The sequence below is a fragment of the Homo sapiens genome, chromosome 13 (genome assembly GCF_000001405.40).
Source record: "Homo sapiens chromosome 13, GRCh38.p14 Primary Assembly".
Classification (NCBI taxonomy): Eukaryota; Metazoa; Chordata; class Mammalia; order Primates; family Hominidae; genus Homo; species Homo sapiens.
Window position 1 is genome coordinate 35616493 of NC_000013.11, and position 20509 is coordinate 35637001.

Genomic DNA, 20509 nt, shown 5'->3' on the forward strand with positions numbered 1-20509 from the left:
ATCAATACACAGGTTTTCTTTTAAAAAGTCTCTTTAAAAAACCTGATTCTCACCAGATGGTTTCATGACATTTGGGTTTTAGAGAATTAACAGATTATTCATTGAAAGGAATAGCCTGAAAAATTGTATAATACTATAAAGACAATTTAAACTCTGAAGTAGGTTTTCCCTCTTACTGTAAGAGAGAATAAAACACATGAATACAAATTCTGAGTAACAATTTTTAAAATTTATAATTGCTCAGAGTACTTATATTGCACATAAATTAAATATAACAAATAATTTACTCCTGATACTAATATGACCAGTTTAAGAACTGACTTCTGTTTATATATACTTCTTACCTGTTATAACTTGTCTTTTTAACATCTAAAGTGCTGATAAGCAGACTTTATTCAAAGTGTGCTTCTTTAAAATAAGCCTCACGGTGTAGCATCCCTGTAAATACATATTAATCCAGCCAGCTGTGTGCAATGCACTAGGAACTGTAAGGATTCATATGTAATTCAGTGAAGCCACTGTTCCTCAAATATTTACTCTCGCAGATTCAGAAGAATTAAGTTTTACAACTAATATATGAAGGATACATATTGTGCATCTCTGGAAATATAAAACATTCTCAGAAATGAATAGTCCATTTTAATTGTAAGTAGTAAGTTCCAACTTGTGTTCATGAAGGAATGAGAGAAGCAAGGCACTGCAGTTTCCCTATGTTCTAAACCAAATTCCTGTTATTTCATCATAGGAATTAATGGATCTGGTAAGACTTGTGAACTGAAACTTTATTCCATGGAGCGAAAGGCTTTATACAAAATTCTGCATATTCAGGATAATTAAACTGCCCCAGTCTGTGTTCTCTGCATCACCTGGAAGCAGTGCCGGGTGAAATGGATCACGTGTAGGAGTGCCTCACTTGAAAAGTGCTTATTGTTTCTGTGTTGTGCTTCTGGGTTTTCCTTGAAGGAAGCCTACGGAATAGAAAGGGAAAGCTACCTTGTGTGTCAACAAAAAGCTGTATCCATAACAGCTATAGCAGCCATTCTTAGTTGCTTCAGAATTAGAGCTAAAGGAAAAGCCCACACTGCTGCCTCTGAGAACTGTCTTAAGCATCAACGCTACGCAAAGACATCTCGTGAAATGTGGCTGCATGATTCTGCAGCTGCTCGTCTCTCAGTGTCTCCTGTGCTGCTTCAACTTGAAGTTTTCCTTCATAGCACCTTTTTCATAGTTTCTGTTGCTCCAACTCCTGGTCGGTTTTCTCATCCTACTACTAGGAAATGATCATACTGATCTCTTGCAGAAATAATGTCAGATATCTGTGTTAAAACTAAAAAGTTTAACCAGTTATCTACATATGTTCATACTTGCTGAAGGAATGTTTATTTGGTGAGTATTTATGTAATATACAAAGTCTAGGCACTCATATAAAATATCAAGTATTTAAATTTTCCATAAATTCCTTGAATATAGGCTGTATTTTTTATGTTGTTTTGTAACTTTAAAAGTTTCTAACTTTATATTGGCTGGGTAATTCATACAGGATTTAGTTCTTATGAAATAGCTTTAGAGAAAATGTGCTCTAGTATATTTATAATTTTGACTAGGATTATCTTCAGTTATTTGAAAGAGTTCTTTGTAATGAGCCTAAAGTATAAAATGAAAATGTCATATATTCCAAAGAGATGACATTCACAGTGGTAAAAAACCTCCATTTCTTTGTATGGATTAGTATTCTGTACCTATGAGTATTCCCTCCTTCTTTCAAACTGTCATTAAGAAATTCAAGGCAAAGATGACAAAATATTATAAAAAGTGATATCATTGATGATTAAATGCCCAGCTTTATTACTGCATGCCAGCAATTGAACAGCAGGTATTTGATGCATTTGTAGCAGACTTTACATGTCTACAACCTAATTTCATTTTTTATTTTTTTAAAAAATGAAGCAGTACTTTGTTGTTTAAGTTATGGACAATAACATGTATGTAATTGGTTAGAATTGTTTGTTTTGTAAATACAGTGCCAAGAGTTATGTTTCGCTGTGAAATACAAAGTTTACTCTCACTAGAAAACCTGGAAAAGCGATACAGACACATTTAGTAGACATTTCAATGCATTCTAAGGTCATTAAGTTTATACGTCAAGAATTGGTTTAATTTATCCACATGAAGCTAGGCTTATTAGACTGACTTACTCATGAAACATTAATAAAGCATTGTGTTTAGTTCTAACCTGATTATAATCTGACCTTCTGACAAAGGACAGAAATAGAAAGTATCTGATAACATTACCCTAATGCTGGGTTCATCCATCATAATCTACCCTTTTAAAAATTTGTTTTAGAAAAAGGCCCTTTCACGGATGTGCATTGATAATCTCATCTCGCCCTCAGCCCAGCAGATTCCTGGTGCTGCTGGGCCAAGTACAGGCTGTCTGCAGTCAGCAGAGCATGCACAGCAACTGAGGCAGGGGAAGCCAAGCTCCAGTGTGGCTCTGCTCATATTGTATTATAACCTTTACAGAATGTCCGTATTTCAAAGAAAATGTTTCCTTTTTAAGCTGGGTTTTTTTTTTAAGTAGATTATACCCCAAATGCAAATGTAAAAATTTGCATTTGGGGTATAATCTACTTTTAAAAACCCCAGCTTAAAAAAGAATTTTAAGCAAATAACATAAGAATTTTTGGAAGTCTTATGTAGGAATTCAAAATATCAAGATAGACATCTTGTGTTTGAGTGCCATCTCTGGAACACCTGTTAGCCATGTGTTGTGCTGAACCCCTATTAACTTCAACAGGGATGGCACCAGGTTCTAGAGGCCAAAGAAGAGACCCAGAGCCAGTGAGCATGACATAGAGTTTTACTGGGGACTTACCTATCGGGGAAAGTCCAGTGGTAGCAGGCTGGACAGGAGACCCATATGGCTCAGTGGCAGCAGACTGGACAGCAGAACTGCAACCGCTTGCAAAAAACCTGCTGTTTATATCACATTTTTATTTAACACTCCCCCACCCAACCACAACATCCTGTATCTGGCAACCTTCATTTAACCCAAAACAAAGGGCCTTGATTCCCATTATGGCCTGAGTTCCAAGAGATGGGCCAGAGGGGGCTCAGATATTCTTCACAGATAAGGAATGGATCTCCAGGTTGGCCACCCCAATTCCCTAGCTTGAGACTCTCAACTGCATTCAGGTGTGTCTGCCATACAGGGTCTTTCTCAAGGTTTGTTCAAGTCATCACTGTCAGGTGCAGCTTACCGCACACCATGACACTTGGAAGTAAGACACCCTATCTCTTGGAACTGCAGTGTCCTCCTTATTTCTCAAATTGAGGACTTGTTCATTCCATAAGTCTTTACTGAGAGCTAGTTATGAGCAAAGCATTATGGAAAATACAAAGAATGGCCATGGATCCTACTCTAAGTGAAGTTAGAGTAGAGAAATTCCTTCGTTCATTCCGTAATTATGAAGGGGCTATCATGCACTTCATCCTGCTCTGGGCTCTGGGAACACAAGGATGAGCAACTCAGTGAGTGGCTTCAGAAGGTGCACTCTAGTTAGGGACACAGACAAATAAACAAACAGTCCCAGTAAACACTGATAGTGTTTATTCAACAGATACCTGTTGAGTGTTCCGGGTGATGTTTTATGTGTTTGCAAGGATCCCTGCCGTCCTGGAGCTCACTTTTGATCAAAGGGAGACAGGCGATAGACAATTTTTTAAAAGTGAAATATCTAGTATCTTAGAAGGTGACCGGTGGTAGAAAATACCACTGCAAGAAAAGGAGACTGTGAGTACCTGCAGGGGAGAGAGGTCAGGACAGCCTCCCTATGAAGGGAGATTAGAGGTAGGCCTGGAGGAGCAGAGGGAGGGAGCCAAGTGACTCTCTTGGGGAAAGAGCATGGTGGGCAAAGGGAACATTAGAGCAAAGGCCTTATGGCAGGGATGTGGTTGGCAAGGAGGCCAGTGGGCCAGGAAAGGGTGGGCAAGTGGGCACACAGTAGGACAAGAGGACTGAGTAGTAGTGGGGGAGCATCACACAGGGTCTTGAAGGCCATCATAAGTACTTTGCCTTTTTACCCTGAGTAAAATGTAAAGTCCTTGCAATCTTTTGAGTGGAAGTGTGACTGATCTTCCTTATGTTTTGAAGGGATCACTCTGGCTGCAGTGTTGGGAATGAATGATTCTGCAAGGGTAGAATCAGGGAGATCTGCTAGAAGGTAATTTGAGAGATGATGGTGGCTTGGACCAGGGGTAGCAGTAAAAGTAGTAAGAAATTATTGATTCTGGGTGTATTTTAAAATTTGAGCCTATAGTCTCCCTGGGACTTCCTACCAGTGGCCATTTTCCCTCAGGTATCTCTAGTCTTACAGAGGCAGGTGAAGGGCTGGGGATGAGCATGCGGAGTAGTGATGGCTACAGCAGCAGAGATAGATAAATCCATCTTAGCAGAACATTTTAGAGAGTTCAGCTAAAATGAAAGCGTGGGTGTTTAGTGCCTGTTGTCAACTTGGCCCTTTAGCAGAAATTCTAAGCAGCGGAAAAAGCCAGAGTCAACATGTTTATCCTCCGCTAGACTGTAATCTTTTTCAGGACATCGAATGCTTATTCATCTATGTGTCCTCTAAGGCTAATGTCTGACATATGGTTGGTGGTCAGTAATCTGGGGCAGGAGAGATATTAGACTATATTCACCTTGTTTATTTGCATTTCAGTGGGATCTGCTCCCAAAGATCAGAGGTTTTGTCTTGTTTGTCACAGCATCCCAGGGCCTAGAACACTGCCTGGCACATAACAGGTGCTCCATGTTGAATGAATGAATGCTCCCTCTGTTTGAAATGCCCTTCTCCCAGATGTCTTTATAGTTCATTTCTTCACTGGGGTCCTTAATTGTCACAAACTCAGAGAAGCCTTCCCTGACCTCCTCCCCTAAACTAGCAATCCTCCCCCACTACACATACACCCTACTCCCCATCCTGCTTTTCTGTTTCCTTCGCACTTGTCACCTGCTGACACACCCTGTATCTTACTAATTATGTTAGTTTTTGTTGGTCTCCTCCCAGTACAATGTAAACTCTCTTGCAGGGACTTTGGGTTTTTTTGTTCACTGCTATAATCTTACAATCTAGAAGAGGGTCTGTCACAAAGCAGATGGCCAATCAATATTTGCTGAGTGAATGAATGAGCTTCTTCCCCAGCCCCGCCCTCATTACTGACATTTCCTTTATTCCTTCCTCTTGTGATCATCACATCTTTTCCACTGCTTTAATTAATAAACCTATAAATATTTATTAAACAGTTATTATCCAATGATAGGTTAAGAGTTGTGGGAAATGCAAGATAAGAATTAGATAAAGTCCCTATCTTCAAAAGGCTTACATTCTAATTGAGGATATAGTATTAACTTTGGAAACAATGAAGTGCTAATTGGCAATCATCCCATTCATTTGTACAGTACCTCACAGTTTGTTGTAAAATGATTTCACAAGTAAATTTGCATGTGTTATCTTACTCTATTAAGTAACAAGAGGATACTGATGAAAAGTGTTGGGTAGAAATTCATAGAAAAAAACAAGTGAGAGCTGAGAACACAGGAAGCAAACACTGAACTTGAGTAAGAAGGATGAGTAGGTCTTCAAAAAGCAGGAAGACAATGCTTTCAAGCTAGAGAGAAAGAAAGCAAAAGCTCTGAGGTCATACCAGCTGCTGTGTGCCCAAGGGCTGTGAAGTGTCTGTGCTGGGGAAGCTAAGGATTTATATCAGGAAGTCCTGAGAAACAGTGGGGAAAGGTGGGATGGAGGTTTGAAAGGCCTGAGTCACATAGGTTATGCTGGGAGGAGCAGTGGCAGCTTTGAAAAAGAGAATGGCAATGTGGACATGATGGCTTGACAAGTCTGTCCCACAAGCAGGACACCAGACAGACTGGATTCAGAAGAAGTTTGAAGTATGTTGTAGTAACCCATGTGGAGAGCTGTGAGGGTTAGAAATAATCTTCTGTCTTATACATCCAGAAACAGTCAAGTACTGGAATAATTTAAGCCCCTTAAAATAAACATCAAAGACAACTATATTGTCTCTACTTAAAACAGTTGAATTATTGAAGTTGTAATAGCTACAACTTCAGTCAAATTATGAAAAGAAGATGGCATAGACACTACAGAAGTGACAATATGGCTTTCTGATTATCTACTTGAATATATGCAACTCTATTTAGAGAATTTTTTAATCTCAAAAGCAGATTTTTGACGTAATGAGAAAAAGGGATGGGAAATATTTTTGCTCTGATCTAGAAGAAGACATGGGTATTTAATATTCTTAAATTTTAAAATTCAGGAGAAATATTGTCTCCTCACAGTTAAATTTGGTAGTCTACTTTCTTTTTTTTCATAAATTTCGGAGAAGCTTTACCCCAAACCTGCTAGAGAAAGAATTCTGTACCATCCAATACTCATGGGAGAAAATAGAAATTAGAATGAGGGAAATATTATCCATCTAAGAGATATCCTCTCTAGTTTAAATATCACTCTTTATTTCCTTCTTTCCAGATCCCCAGGGTAGAGCTCTGGATTGGGAATTGGTTTATCTAGGCTTAACGCAATTGCTTCTGCCTTTAGATATGCAAGTAGAGGGTAAAGAAAGCTATTAAGACCATTATGACACTAATAGCTTAGTAATCAAGTATTTCTTTACATTTTTCCAATGTAAGTATTGTACTAAAAATCCCGTTTCAAAGTGCCAAATAGGTTTGTATATAAAAATGGTTCTGAAAAGAACAAAATAAACAGATACCAATGACCGGTCAATACTGTTTATAGTAAAGAGTCTTAATGTCAGGCTTCAGCTTTAGACAAGTTGTTATATTTTAATTATTGATAGCTAATGTTCCATTCTTAGATATTCATTTAATTTTGAACTAGATTTAGCTTTTAAATGTGTAAACTGTATCTTCTTTTCTTTCTGCACAGTAAGTGGCAAGATAAAAAATCGACAAGACTTTGTTTAACCTCTTACCTCATTGTTCCTTTGCCATTTAATTTTATAATAAAAAAGACAAAATTATTTAACTATAATTAATTATTTATTGATTCACTATGCTGCCTCTCTAAGATATAGAATAGGGTAAATAACTATAGACATAAATATTTTTTAATTTAATTAAAGACTATTATGAGCATCTATGAGCTAATAAATCTTAAAACTGAGATGAAATGGATGAATACTGAGAAAAATATTTAAAATGTCAAAATTGAGACTTACAAGGCTTATGGAAATTTAAATGGTAAAATCTTCCCATCCCCTCCTCAAAATTCAAGGCCCATATTACATTACACGTAAATTCTACCAAATTTTCAACAGATAATGAATTCATTTTCTTATACAAATTGTTCCAGGAAACATGGAAAGCTATCCAGCTAATTTTATGAGGCTAGAATTCCAAAAACAGTGAAGGGGAGGAAAAAGAAATAAGGCTTATTTCATGTACGGCTATAAATATAAAAATTCTAAATGAATTCTTATCAATGTTATTAAATGTGTGTGTATATGCCTGTGTGTGTGTGGGTGTGTGTGTGTGTGTGTGTGTGTGAGAATTGCATCAGGACTAAGTAGAGTTTAACCCTTAAGATCAGGAAAAAGATAGGGATTTTCCACATCACCACTGCTGTTTTACATAGTTCTTAAGGCTAAGAACAATTCTATAAGAAAACAAAAAGTTGTAGGTGTAACTACTAAGAGTGGCTACAAACACAATCAACTTCTAGAAATCAGTATCATTGTTCTACATCATTAATAACCAAGTATAAAATATAGTTTCAAAGTATTACAGTTGCATCAAAATTTATGAAGTATCTGGGAATAAACTTAACCAAGAACACTAAGATAAAACTTTTATGGAGAAAATTTTATTTTTTAACTCTAATAAAGGACATAGAAAATGATCTGTATAAATCAAGATATTTGGGGACCTTGGATAGTAAAACCTAGTGTCAGTGTTCACAAATTAATGTATAAATTGATTGGCATTCCAATCAAATTCTTTTGATATATCTATGCACTTAATGTAAAAGTTACAAAGAAGAATAAATGTTCCTGAATAGCCTAGTTTATCCTGAAAAAAAGAATAAATTCTAGCACATATTGAGATATGTAAGAAATAAGATAATTAAGATAAGGTAATAATAGAAATGAAAAATATAGAAAGCTGGACACACATACGTTGACATGATAGGTACATAGAAGAGAGAGCAAAAGAATATAAAGATAAAATAAATTAAGATAATAATAGAAATGAAAAATATAGAAAGCTGGGCACACACATATCTAGACATGATAAATACATAGGAGAGAGAGCAAAAGAAAAGGAGGAAGGAGACTGGGCTTCTATGTAGATTATGATATTATCTGTAAATAACGGCAGCTTTATGTCTTCGTTTCAAATATATATTTACACAGTAAAGATAATACCATACATCTCTGAGAAAAGGAATTTTTGTTTAATAGATGGTATTGGAAAAACTCACTCACTTTATAAACAAAAATAAGACTGGACCCATATCTAATATCATATATGAATGAAAGTAGATGTAGATTAATTAAAGATCAAAATATGAAAAGTAAAACCATAAATATAAAGCTAAATGATACAAATATATTTATCTCTATAATTCAAGACAAAACCTCAAAGCATAAACATTTTTAAAACATGATTTGATGATCTCAAAATTAAGAAAATATATCCAACAAAGAACATGGATAAAGTTAATAGATATATGACATTTGGGAGAATGCATTTGCAGTGTTTCAAACCAACAAGGAACTCTTATCTAAAATATATAAATCAGGCCAGGTGCAGTTGCTCACATTTGTAATTCCAGCACTTTGGGAGGCCGAGGCAGGCGGATCACGTGAGCTCAGGAGTTTGAGACCAGCCTGGGCAACATGGCGAAACCCTGTCCCTGCAATACAAAAATACAAAAATTAGCCAGGCACGGTGGCGCATGTCTGTAGTCCCACCCAGCTACTCGGGAGGCTGAGATGGAAGGATCACTGGAGCCCAGGAGACGGAGGTTGTAGTGAGCTGAGATCGCAACACTGCACTCCACCCTGGGCCATAGAGTGAGATCCTGTCTAAAAAATAATAATAATAAAATTAAATATATAAATCAACAATATAAAGACAAGAACCTCCAGTGTTTAAATGGGTAAGGGATATGAACAGGAAATTTACAGAAGAGGAAACCCAAAAGACCAACAAGCATATTAAAAAGATGTCAAATCTGTTAGTAATTTGAGGAATACAAATTAAAACAATGAGATATTATTTTGTATCTCTTATACTGGCCAAAATTAGAAACCTGGATAATACTAACAGTTGATGGAGATAAGGACGTATAGAAACTGTCATGCATTGCTAGAGAGTGGGCACGGATGACTCACATTAAGTATGCACTCCCAGTTCTACTCCAGATTATAAATCCCAAAGAAATTCTCAGAAAGATCCAAAAGGGGCATTTATCACAGGCTTGTGTCATGGGGATTAGAGGTAGCCTGGTGTTTGTTACCAGGGGAGTTTTGTGCAGCCATGAGAAGCAATGGGCTAGTCACACAGTGACACAGGTAGATTTTTAAAATAATACTAAGTGAGAAAAGTAAGGAACAAAATGAAATTTTTAACCCTATATATTTTTATAGTTCAAAAGTATATCCACAAAAGAATGAGTAATATTTTATAAGGGCACATGCAAACAAAAGGAGAAACATTAAATACATTATAGTTATTGCCCATGGTGGTGGAAGGAAATGAAAATAGGAGATGGAGATAAAAGAGAAAAAACACATTTTAAAAGCTCAAATTATTGAAAAGTCATCATTCCCACTACCACTCATGATTCCATTAGGTATTTTATTCAATAATGGTTTTACTCTAATAGAGATAATAGTAAATTTCATCAAACCTTTCTTTAGTGGTATCTATAAGATATATTTGTAATGAATGCGCTTAGCTGATCATGTTGGTAAAATCTTCCTTTAAATTATTTATCTGATTCCATAACTAAATTGAATTCCTGTGAATAGACTTGAGCAGTAGTTACTCAATAATGAACCTCTATTTACTCATTTTTTAAATCCCTTCATTTATTGCATCAGACACTGAAAATATTACTAAATAATTAGACTGACATTTTTTCTTAATTGAATAGTTATAGAGAATTGACAAAATCATTTATACAAATTGACCAAACTAATATAGACATAATACAGAATTTTAACCATCTCTTCTTTCAGACTCATTTCCTGTGTTCTACTCTGAACTGTTATTTCAAGATCGATGAGATAGACAATATAGAAATTCTGTTTGCCTTTAGTATGGAAACTGTTCTTTCATAAAATGTCATTGTTTACATTGCTGAATGAGAAACATCCACACTAATTGGTGTAGATGAAATACAAAAAATTTTGAAAGGAATAAATCAGGAAAGGGATTGAAGGGAATAAATTACTAGTTAAATGTGATCACAGGAAAAGTTGAAAAGTATTATTTATAATATTTTATATACTTAAAAAATGAAAAGCAGTTTTTGGCAATCTTAATTCAAGAAATCATTTATTCATTAAGTGAATTCCAAATTGGTTTCAACACCATGGAAATCACAGAGAATGACTTTGTTCACATATTTAGTGACCGCCGTAATTTAGAAAATTGTCTTACATGGCTCTGCAATAGCTGAAATTTACAAAGCTAGATGTACAGCTCTTTTCCATGTTGTTGAAATCAGTGTCCTCTTTAAATCACTAGGAAGTTGATGATAAATGACTGCAGTAAGTGAGAGGCGTAGTGAGCCATGCACCATCACTACTTATTTCACGGACCTGAGCAAGACTCCCTACCTACCTGTCAAGACACCTCTAGGAAGCTTCTGATGGCTTCTTAGGAAATAAAAAGGCCTTTTTTTTTTCTTTTTTCTGTTTATGGAAACTTAGTATGGGCCTTGACTCTCAGTAATTTATATTTCTTTCCCATTAGCTAGCAAACATCCAAAATTGCCCAGTGATTCCCAAACTGTGTAATAGCTGAGTTAATTCATAGTGGAAGAAAGATATTCCCTTCTAGTCATCTCAGAGGTAAGCTGGAGGACTTCAGGCAGGAAAATAAATGTATATCAGAGTTTCTCATAAAATTGCTTAATTTCAAACTAATATTTAAAAATGAGAAATGAAACTGTAACATGGTATTAAAAAAGGTAATTTAAATTATTTTTCTTTTAAACATGAGTGTGTTTTAATAAGAAATTTATTTATGTTAAATCATATTATGTACCTAATGGAGCCAAGAGAAAGTTTAGCATTTTAGAAAGGGAAAATTTTCATTTAGGTCTCTGTACTTTCATTTAGGTGTCTGTAAAATACTACTGAGGTAGTATTTTTCCATTTCTAGGAACTGAAGATCTGATACATATAAATCAAGTACAGAAATTTAAAGAGCATATTCTCCTTTTTATATATATTTCAAAGTAAAAAAAAAATAAAAGGATATGAAGGTGTACTAAGTTTTGATGGTCTCTCATTTCTTTCTTGACTCATTTCAGGCCCTAGAAAGTGAATTTGTTTCTTGCCAACTTCATCAGTGGATCGACCTTATATTTGGCTATAAGCAGCGAGGACCAGAAGCAGTTCGTGCTCTGAATGTTTTTCACTACTTGACTTATGAAGGCTCTGTGAACCTGGATAGTATCACTGATCCTGTGCTCAGGGAGGTAGGTGTTAAATCCCATATTATTCCAAAAATTTCTGTCATCTCTCAAACACAAATTTGACATTTCATCTCTTTCTGTATAATTTTGTTTTCAACATAACTTCTTACAAAACAGATTTCAGGTTCTTGACATATGTGGAAAAATTGAAAAGTCCCAAAACAAGTAATGCAACCAGTATGTGGTTCCTTTTTAAATTTCAGACACTTTAAATATACTTCTATATCTGTATATTTGTTTTTCTTACTTCAAAATTTACATTAAAATATGTAATGCTTTACGTATTTTAGTAATAAGTGAAACCTAGCTGAATATTTAAATAGGAATATTCCACATTAACATAATCTGCCACTGTGGCTATTCTTAAAAATAACAGCACAAGTGCTAGGATTACAGGTTCAGTGGCTCTTGCCTGTAATTCCAGCACTTTGGGAGGCCAAGGTGAGTGAATGGCTTGAGCCCAGGAGTTCGAGACCAGCCTGGCCAATATGCTGAAACCCCATCTCTACAAAAAATACAAAAATTAGCAGGGTGTGGTGGCGCAGCTGTGTGGTCCCAGCTACTGTGGGGGCTGAGGTGAGAAGATCACTTGAACCCAGGAGGCAGAGGTTGCCATGAGCCAAGATTGCACCACTGCACTCCAGCCTGGGTGACAGAGCGAGACCCTATCTCAAAAAAATAATAAATATAAATAAAAGGAATATTTCTACCTTTTAGACAGAATACTCAAAAACATGCATGAATGAAATAGATGCAGTTATGCTATTTTATTCTTATGTGTTTTCAATCTGAAATGTTTATAGCTAACAGTTGGGAATTATGTGCTGTAGTATGTATATAGTATTTTTAGTGAAAATATTCATATAAAATATTACTTAAATCATTTCTACATTGCACAAAATGATTTCAGATAAGTGGAAAGAGTGAAGATGCAACAGCTGCTACATAAGTGTTGCTTCAAGGAAGTGATATCCCAGTCTTCCATTCTACCAGATATCTGCCATCTGTCGTATGCAAAACAAGTAATCATTTCTGCATCTCCAGCCAGTGGAATGCTTTTCTTATTTTTTATTTTAAAGGTGGAAAACTTGGAGATGGGCGCAATGAAGCTCTACAGAAAAATTTGCATTCATAAGTTTATTTCTTATATACCTCTATAAAATTAAAATGACTCCATTTGTATGGTTCAAGCAAAGAAGAGGAAAAGGAAGGGAAGAGCCTCATAATCATTGATCCTTGGACCCTTAGGGCAAAATATTCTGAGAACACGTTGCAAGCGTATTATTAGGGGCAATATTGTACCATATTGTGTGCACACAAGATAAAATTATTGCCTGAAGCCAAGAGAAAAACATAGAGACAGAATGAATGAATGAGAGAGAAGGCAGGTGTTATGAAATGGCTGGTGAAATAAGGAATTTTCTCTACAAATCATTACACTCACCCAACTGAGTATCCCCAGTTGTGTATAAATTGTAATCAGATTATTTGGTAGGAGATAATTCTGAGCTTAATTAGTCTCAACTGTACACCCTTGCTTATTACATGCCTGTTTTATTAAATACTTTATAAACTATTCTTTTAAGGCTAATACCTTTTAGAATCAGAAAAAAAGAAAACAGTTGTAATAGTTCATCCTTATATTCTAAGATCAACTGAATTGTCTTTTGACTTCTAAATGTCATAGGCATTTTTGCTTTTGGATATTTTGTTATACATTTTTACCCATTATAATAAAGTCCTGTTCTTATAAAGAAAGTTGCAAGTTAATCCTGTTGGGCAAAACAAATTAAATACATTAAACACAAAATAAAATAAATTAAATAAATTAAATACAAAATAAAATACATTAAGCATCTTATATGTGATGAAAGTGCAAGGCAGCATTAAAATTGACAGAAAAATAGCAGGTTTGTCCAATTTAAATGAGGGTTTAAAAAGAGATAACTGAAAGAATTTGAAAATGAAATTAAAATGGAAATTTTCTTTACATGGATACAGTGTTCATTATTTGAATCTTATCAAAATACCTGTTTCTACAAAATAACATCATTGCTTTGGACAGTGAAAGAATTGTGTATAAGGCTTTGTTAATGTAGAACTTCTTAATGAAACATTACATAGAAATGTAAAATTTAAAATGTAAAAATTAAAAATTAAAAATTGTCTTCTGTTGAATGGGAATGATTCAAGCATATGTTGGCATATTATATAGATGGTCTGAACAATATCTTGTATTACAGCTTCATGACCTTCTAGTGATGCAGACTCTCTGCTACTAGGGTGCCTCAGCTCAGGACTCTGTCTCCTTTCAGCATGCTCATTCGAAGCACATAATTGCCAGACACTCAGGTTTCATTAGAGAGACCCAGAGTCATACTGTGAAATGTTATGTTCTTTCTCCCCAGACCCCTTGCCCACTTCCTCAACCCTATAATTCTGTGTCAGTTCTTAGAACACGATACATGTGAAGGAGCGCATACCTGGAATACTCTTACTTCCCTTCCCCCAGCCCCCAGAGGCCTGAGCACACATCAGCAGAGAGGTTTACCATGACCCTGTGGACCTGTGTGGACTCAAGATTGCTTAGGAAGAGCCTCTATCTCCTTGTGACCACTAGGGGGCCATTTAGTACAGTGTAGACATAACAGATTAAATGATTTCAAGGAATGCTAGTTAATTTCCCCTTTCCCACTTCCCACCATTCCCCCCTCTAACATATTCCCATTGCTGTTAATGCCAGTTAGCCAAGTAGAAGCTAACAGATTCCCACAAAGACAGTTCTGCACTAACATTTAAGAATGTGAGGAATAGTGTCCTCCAAAGGACGAGAGCCCACCTGAATCCTGTGAGCTGGGTAAGTGAGGCCGAGTCATTCAATCTCACTTTACCTCAGTTGCTCTCTCTGTAAATACATCTATTGTTATAAGAAAGAACCCAGATAAAATGGAGTGAAGTACAGCATATTCATTATTTAGTGGTCATTTATGCACCCTTACCTATATACAACCCCTATGAGTAGACCATGTGGGAGGCACAATACCTTTTTTTAAAACATTCTTGTTGAGTTCCTGGAGGTCTTGTACTGCTGTGTTGCGACTTGAGAGAGTTGATTCCCACCTAAGTGGTTGGACACAGACTCTTGGAAAAAGCAGAGTTTAAGATATTAACCCTTTTATTGAGCTCAATACATTTATTTTATTTGATAATGTTTATCTTAGTATTTTTAAAATACAAAGATTGTACATTTCATATAGATAAAACCAAAGGAAGGCTAATTATGGCTACACTAAACTCCATCTAGCCTAAGATGGATTTTTTCATGCTTAAATTAAACACTAATTTAAAAAGAGAAATATTTAATATATGAATATCTATATATGTCTCCTTTGTAAAAAAAAAAAAAAAAAAAAAAATTCTACTACTTGCCTATAACTTTGAGTTTTGAAGTTAGTGCTAAAGTTTGAGAAATGGCTTAAGGTTATTGATTCATTCTTTCTTGACAGGTGAAATCATGAAGCAGCACTAACCACAGCAATTATGGCATTAAAATGTCAAGAAATTAGAGGTCAGAATAACAGATAATTTTCTTCTCTATGTCAGATTGAAAATTGACATTCTTTGACAGTTTAGGAACTCTGGCTGAGAAAATTATGACAGCTTAACTTATTTTATACTTGTAAAGCAGTAATTGATAATAAACTTTATCATGACAGCCTCTGGGCAGAAACATGACAGTACAGTTCTGGTACAAAGCTCTTCTTAATATGTAAACACTAGATCTGTTGGATAGTAGATATTATTTAAATTGTCTAAAGTCTTGGCTTACATCGTAATCTTCTATGCACTTTTTTTCATAGATGAGCTGTACTATTTGAGCAGTTTTTCAAGCATTATAAAGAATATTTTTTCTTATCGGTTTTTATATATTAATAAAAAGTATATGATCTGATTTATATTTTTACTTACTAAATGATGACCAAGAAACTTCATCCTATGACCTGCTTAGGAAAGAGAATATTCTGGTTGGTAATCATTTAGTCCCATGGTTTTCTAACACCTTGATGCTCAAATGTGGCCCATAACCCAGCAGAATCAGCATCACCTGGGAACTTGCTAGAACTTCAGCCTCTCAGCCTTCCCCAACCTACTAAATACATGTAATGAGATCCCTAGGCAACTTGTTTGAGACATTAACTTTTAAGAAGCACTGCTCTACTAAAGGTGTGTTAGAATCATTTGGAAAGCTTTTTTTTTTTCCCCTACAAAAGTACAGAGAATGGTATAATGAACCTCCATGTACCTATCACCCAATTTCAAAAATTTAAAACCATTTCATCAAAACCTCACCCCTCCCCTTGTATTTTTTTTCTTTCTTTCAGAGACAGTCTCACTCTGTCACCAAGGCTGAAGTGCAGCGGCTTACTGCACCCCACCTCCCAGGTTCAAGCAATTCTCCCACCTCAGCCTCCCAAGTAACTGAGATTATAGACACCCACAACCGCACCTGGCTAATTTTTGTATTTTTAGTAGAGACAGGGTTTCACCATGTTGGCCAGGATGGTCTTGAACTCCTGACCTCAGGTGATCTGCCTGCCTCAGCCTACAAAAGTGCTGGGATTACAGGCATGAGCCACTGTGCACGGCCCCCCTGTACTATTTTTAATACACATGTCATACCCATCTAACTCCCCATCCACTCTATCCTCCCCATCACATGGGCATCTCAGAATATCCAGGGAAAGGCTTCAATGAAGCAAGTCTTATTTTGAAAAAAAAAAAAAAAAATTATCTGGGAATTTCACACACATTCCCAATTAAAAACCATTAATCTAGCTAACACTCTCATTAAATAATTTTTTGTTTGTTTGTTTTGAGACAGAGTCTCGCTCTGTCGCCCAGGCTGAAGTGCAGTGGCGCAATCTGGGCTCACTGCAAGCTCTGCCTCCCGGGTTCACGCCATTCTCCTGCCTCAGCCTCCCAAGTAGCTGGGACTACAGGCGCCTGCTGCCACGCCCGGCTAATTTTTTGTATTTTTAGTAGAGATGGGGTTTCACCATGTTAGCCAGGATGGTCTCAATTTCCTGATCTTGTGATCCGCCCACCTCGGCCTTCCAAAGTGCTGGGATTACAGGCGTGAGCCACCGCGCCCGGCCTAAATAATTTTTTCAGCTGGGCGTGATAGCTCACGCCTGTAATCCCCACACTTTGGGAGACCGAGGCGGGTGGATCACTAGGTCAGGAGTTCAAGACCTGTCTGCCTCAGAGTATGATTATATTGTATGCCATAGGCAACAAAAATGGATAGAAAGATGGGAATGATATTATAAGTTGTATCACAGCTCAACCATTAGTATTTGAGTGACATTAAGTCAGTCACTTGAATTTTATGTACCTGTATTTTCTCACCTAAAAAATTGATGACAGAGATGATACCTAATTCATGGGAGAAAAATATGTGAAAATACTTAAACTATAAAGCACTACACAGGCATTATTACCTAAAGGCATAATTAAATGAAGTTATCTTAGAAGAACTTTTGTTTTAATAATTTCATTATATATGACACCAAAACTATCAATTTAATTTTAAAAAATCTGTTAGCAACAGAGAAAATAAGTTAATTTGTTTTTAATATTATTTAGTAAAAAGAAGCAGTTGTGGCTTTTAAATTTATTTTCAATACTGTCTCCAAAATTTTATAAAGATGGCCTAATTGCAGCCCACTTATTGCCTGTAACATTCTTTCTTGATCTAAATTAGTATTAGCATTTATATCCTTTATTATCCTTTATATTTTTAAAAGTTTTACATTAGGCCAGGCGCTGTGGCTCATGCCTGTAATCCCAGCACTTTGGAAAGCCGAGGCAGGCAGATCACGAGGTCAGGAGATTGAGACTATCCTGGCTAACACGGTGAAACCCCATCTCTACTAAAAATACAAAAAATAGCTGGGCGTGGTGGCGGGCACCTGTAGTCCCAGCTACTCGGGAGGCTGAGGCAGGAGAATGGTGTGAACCCGGGAGGCGCAGCTTGTAGTGAGCCAAGATCATACCACTGCACTCCAGCCTGGGCGACAGAGTGAGACTATCTGAAAAAAAAGTTTTACTTTAGTGTCATTAGTTTTGTATTCATATTATCAAATGAATTAGCAACACTATTACTGGCATTAAAGTTGTACTGGTTCAGCAAGAGAAAAAAATTGAGTCAGTATTTCAACAGAAGCTGTAAGCATATACCAGACAAGTTATTAACAAGATACTAAGTTCTGAACTTGTCATAATACTTGTCATCATTCTATAGTTGACGTTGCCAGACTGAAAATGATTTCAATGGCTTCTTTTTAACGGTGAGAGGTATGCACATAAGTCTATCATAAAAGGCTGTTTTGCTGGCAGCTATTAGAACATGTGAGCCATTGCAATATTTATTTATAGATATACACATTTATTTATGCTGGAAATATTAAAATATTAAGTAGTTTTTAATATTACCAACAGTCATAAAAATGTGGCATTTTTAGTCTAATTTTCTGTTAATATTTCTTGGCTTTCTTAGCTTATAGTTTCTTTTTCTATCTTTTTCTCAATCTGACAGGGATAACACTGCCTCCCTTTGGATCGGCTATGGTGAAAATATGCCCATAGGAAGTAGGCTAGATTACTTCAGTTTTTACTTTATTTTCTTGCTGAAATATTCCTTGCTACTACAGAGAATTGACATGATAGGGCTGTCAAGAACCAGAAGATAGATGTGTCTTTAACCAAAACAGCTGCAATGCTGGCTTTTCTGAGAAGATGAATTCATAAAATTTATAAGACAAAAAATTAACACACTTTTTCATCCTGATGATGTAAATGAAGGGTAATTTAAGGGCCCATAATGACAACATTGAGGACCTCTACAATCATTGTCTTCCTTGAATTCTTTCTATTATTCTTTATTCTTTCTATGAATCCTTTATTCCTCAGCCTTTCCTCCCCCCATTTCTGATTCTCTTTGATATGACAAGGAATATCAACACCACCTGCCCGATCTGCGTGAATGAGTTGTAGCACAAGGTTATCCATTTACAACTGCCATGATGCCTAATTGTCTTCATATGGGGGATATCCAGGGTTCTTCTCCTGGGCAGTTATTCTGAGAAGTGATTGCAACAAATGATCACAAAGTGGGTGATTAAGATTTCTTAAAACCATCTTAATTTCCCCCTATAATTACTGCATGTTTTACTGGGATGAAAATTTTAACAGATTCAAAAGCCAAATTAAAATGGAAAGAAAACCCCTACATTTTAATTAGTGGAGTGAAAATACGTATTTGGTGTTCTTTAAAGCTAAAGGATCATTTTGGGAACATGAAAAATACCATGATTCCTAAAACTAATAAGGATATAGGTTCAAATATATTTGTTATGTGTTTCTCACTGCAAAGGTTTTCATTGAGAGCCATAAGGCTTGCATTGCAAAGGTTTGATGAATAAGGTTTTAATATAGAAATTAGTATCAAGGAAATTAATGACACACATTTAATTTTGATTAGTGAATAAATCTTTAATTTAGGTCTATCTTACCTGCTCATAATTACTGCAGTACTTCACTAGGCCATGGTCATCAATCGTCCACTAGAAAAGCATAAATAATGCAGCTAGTCAAAGTTGGATGTATGTCATTTATGTGACTTGTGCTTCTTTCTTCGCTTTGTGTTATTTTTATTGTGTGGTGTTGAGAAGTGCTAATTATTGATTTTCAGAAATTAACAGCAAGTACTTTCACAAGCATCTAAAGCCATATTTTACTCAAGGGAAGAAGGGTGAAAATTGCAGCCTGCTGTTTATAATAGAAATAGCTGGAAGGGATTTCCTTATCTTCTATTAACATAGATTTCACTTCTATAACACAGTTGTTACCTCAGCATAAATTAACAATTATTCAAAACATATTGCATACTTCAATTTGTTGAAATAGATATTACTCAATCTAAGTACCTAGACATTTCAGTTAGATATTTAGAACTCATTTTTAAACATTTTAAACATATTGATAATGAGCCTATTTAAAGCCATTTGAAGTCTCAGTACAGTATATCTAAATTACTGTTGCCCATTTATGTCAAAATCAAGAATATTTTGTTCTGCTGAATACGTCCAATAATACTTTATTCTCACTTTAGTATACTAAAAGTATATGATTTCAATTTGGAATATTTATACCAGCACCTGGTAAACCTGTGTCTCAATGTCATTCCACATACCAAACAAATCTATTTCAGCTTTTTAAAAAAATATTTTCCCATGATTAAACACTTCTAGTGAACTTATAAAGGCCACCACTTCTCTCTCGTTCCTGCTCCTACACCACCACCTCCCCCTCAACTTGTTTTCCTCCTCCTTCACCTCCTGAATCAGCCAGCATAGAGTTTAGTTTATATAAACTTATTCAACCAGGGAAAATTTGGCAGGGATGTCATACTGATTGTTCTCACCTGTGGTAAAGGATTTGTGGATTGAGTCCTCTACTTAGGTACCATTTAATGATTAACCCCAAAGTGGGCAAAGAACCAGAAACCTGGAAGAATCCTTAAGCGATCATCTGCTAAAATCTTCGCTTCCAGGTAGGCGAATCCCTAAGTCATCTAGAAAAGAGTATTTCAGTTCTCTTCCTGAGTATCAACAAATATTTATTGCAATGAGACTCTACAGCCTTTCCTATCTGCTTACAATGTTTATCTCTGAAATATTTAAAATCCTCAGTGA

The 20509-nt window shown here is 35.8% G+C and overlaps 1 protein-coding gene across 14 annotated transcripts in view, besides 1 other annotated feature; it reads left to right on the forward strand.

Moving 5' to 3' along the window:
- Positions 1-20509, forward strand: part of NBEA (neurobeachin) — a 730467-nt gene that overhangs the window by 674223 nt on the left and 35735 nt on the right. For all 14 annotated transcript variants that reach the window (XM_047430271.1, NM_001385012.1, XM_006719803.4 and 11 more), the window contains one exon: positions 11589-11756. In XM_047430271.1, coding sequence (XP_047286227.1) covers positions 11589-11756 — 168 coding nt within the window. The remainder of the gene's footprint in view (positions 1-11588; positions 11757-20509) is intronic.
- Positions 14322-14371: a silencer, noted in NCBI's record as "silent region_5262". NCBI's record gives its function as "represses an Ori minimal core promoter by ATAC-STARR-seq in GM12878 lymphoblastoid cells {active_cell/tissue: GM12878}" and the evidence as "EXISTENCE:reporter gene assay evidence [ECO:0000049][PMID:35858748]".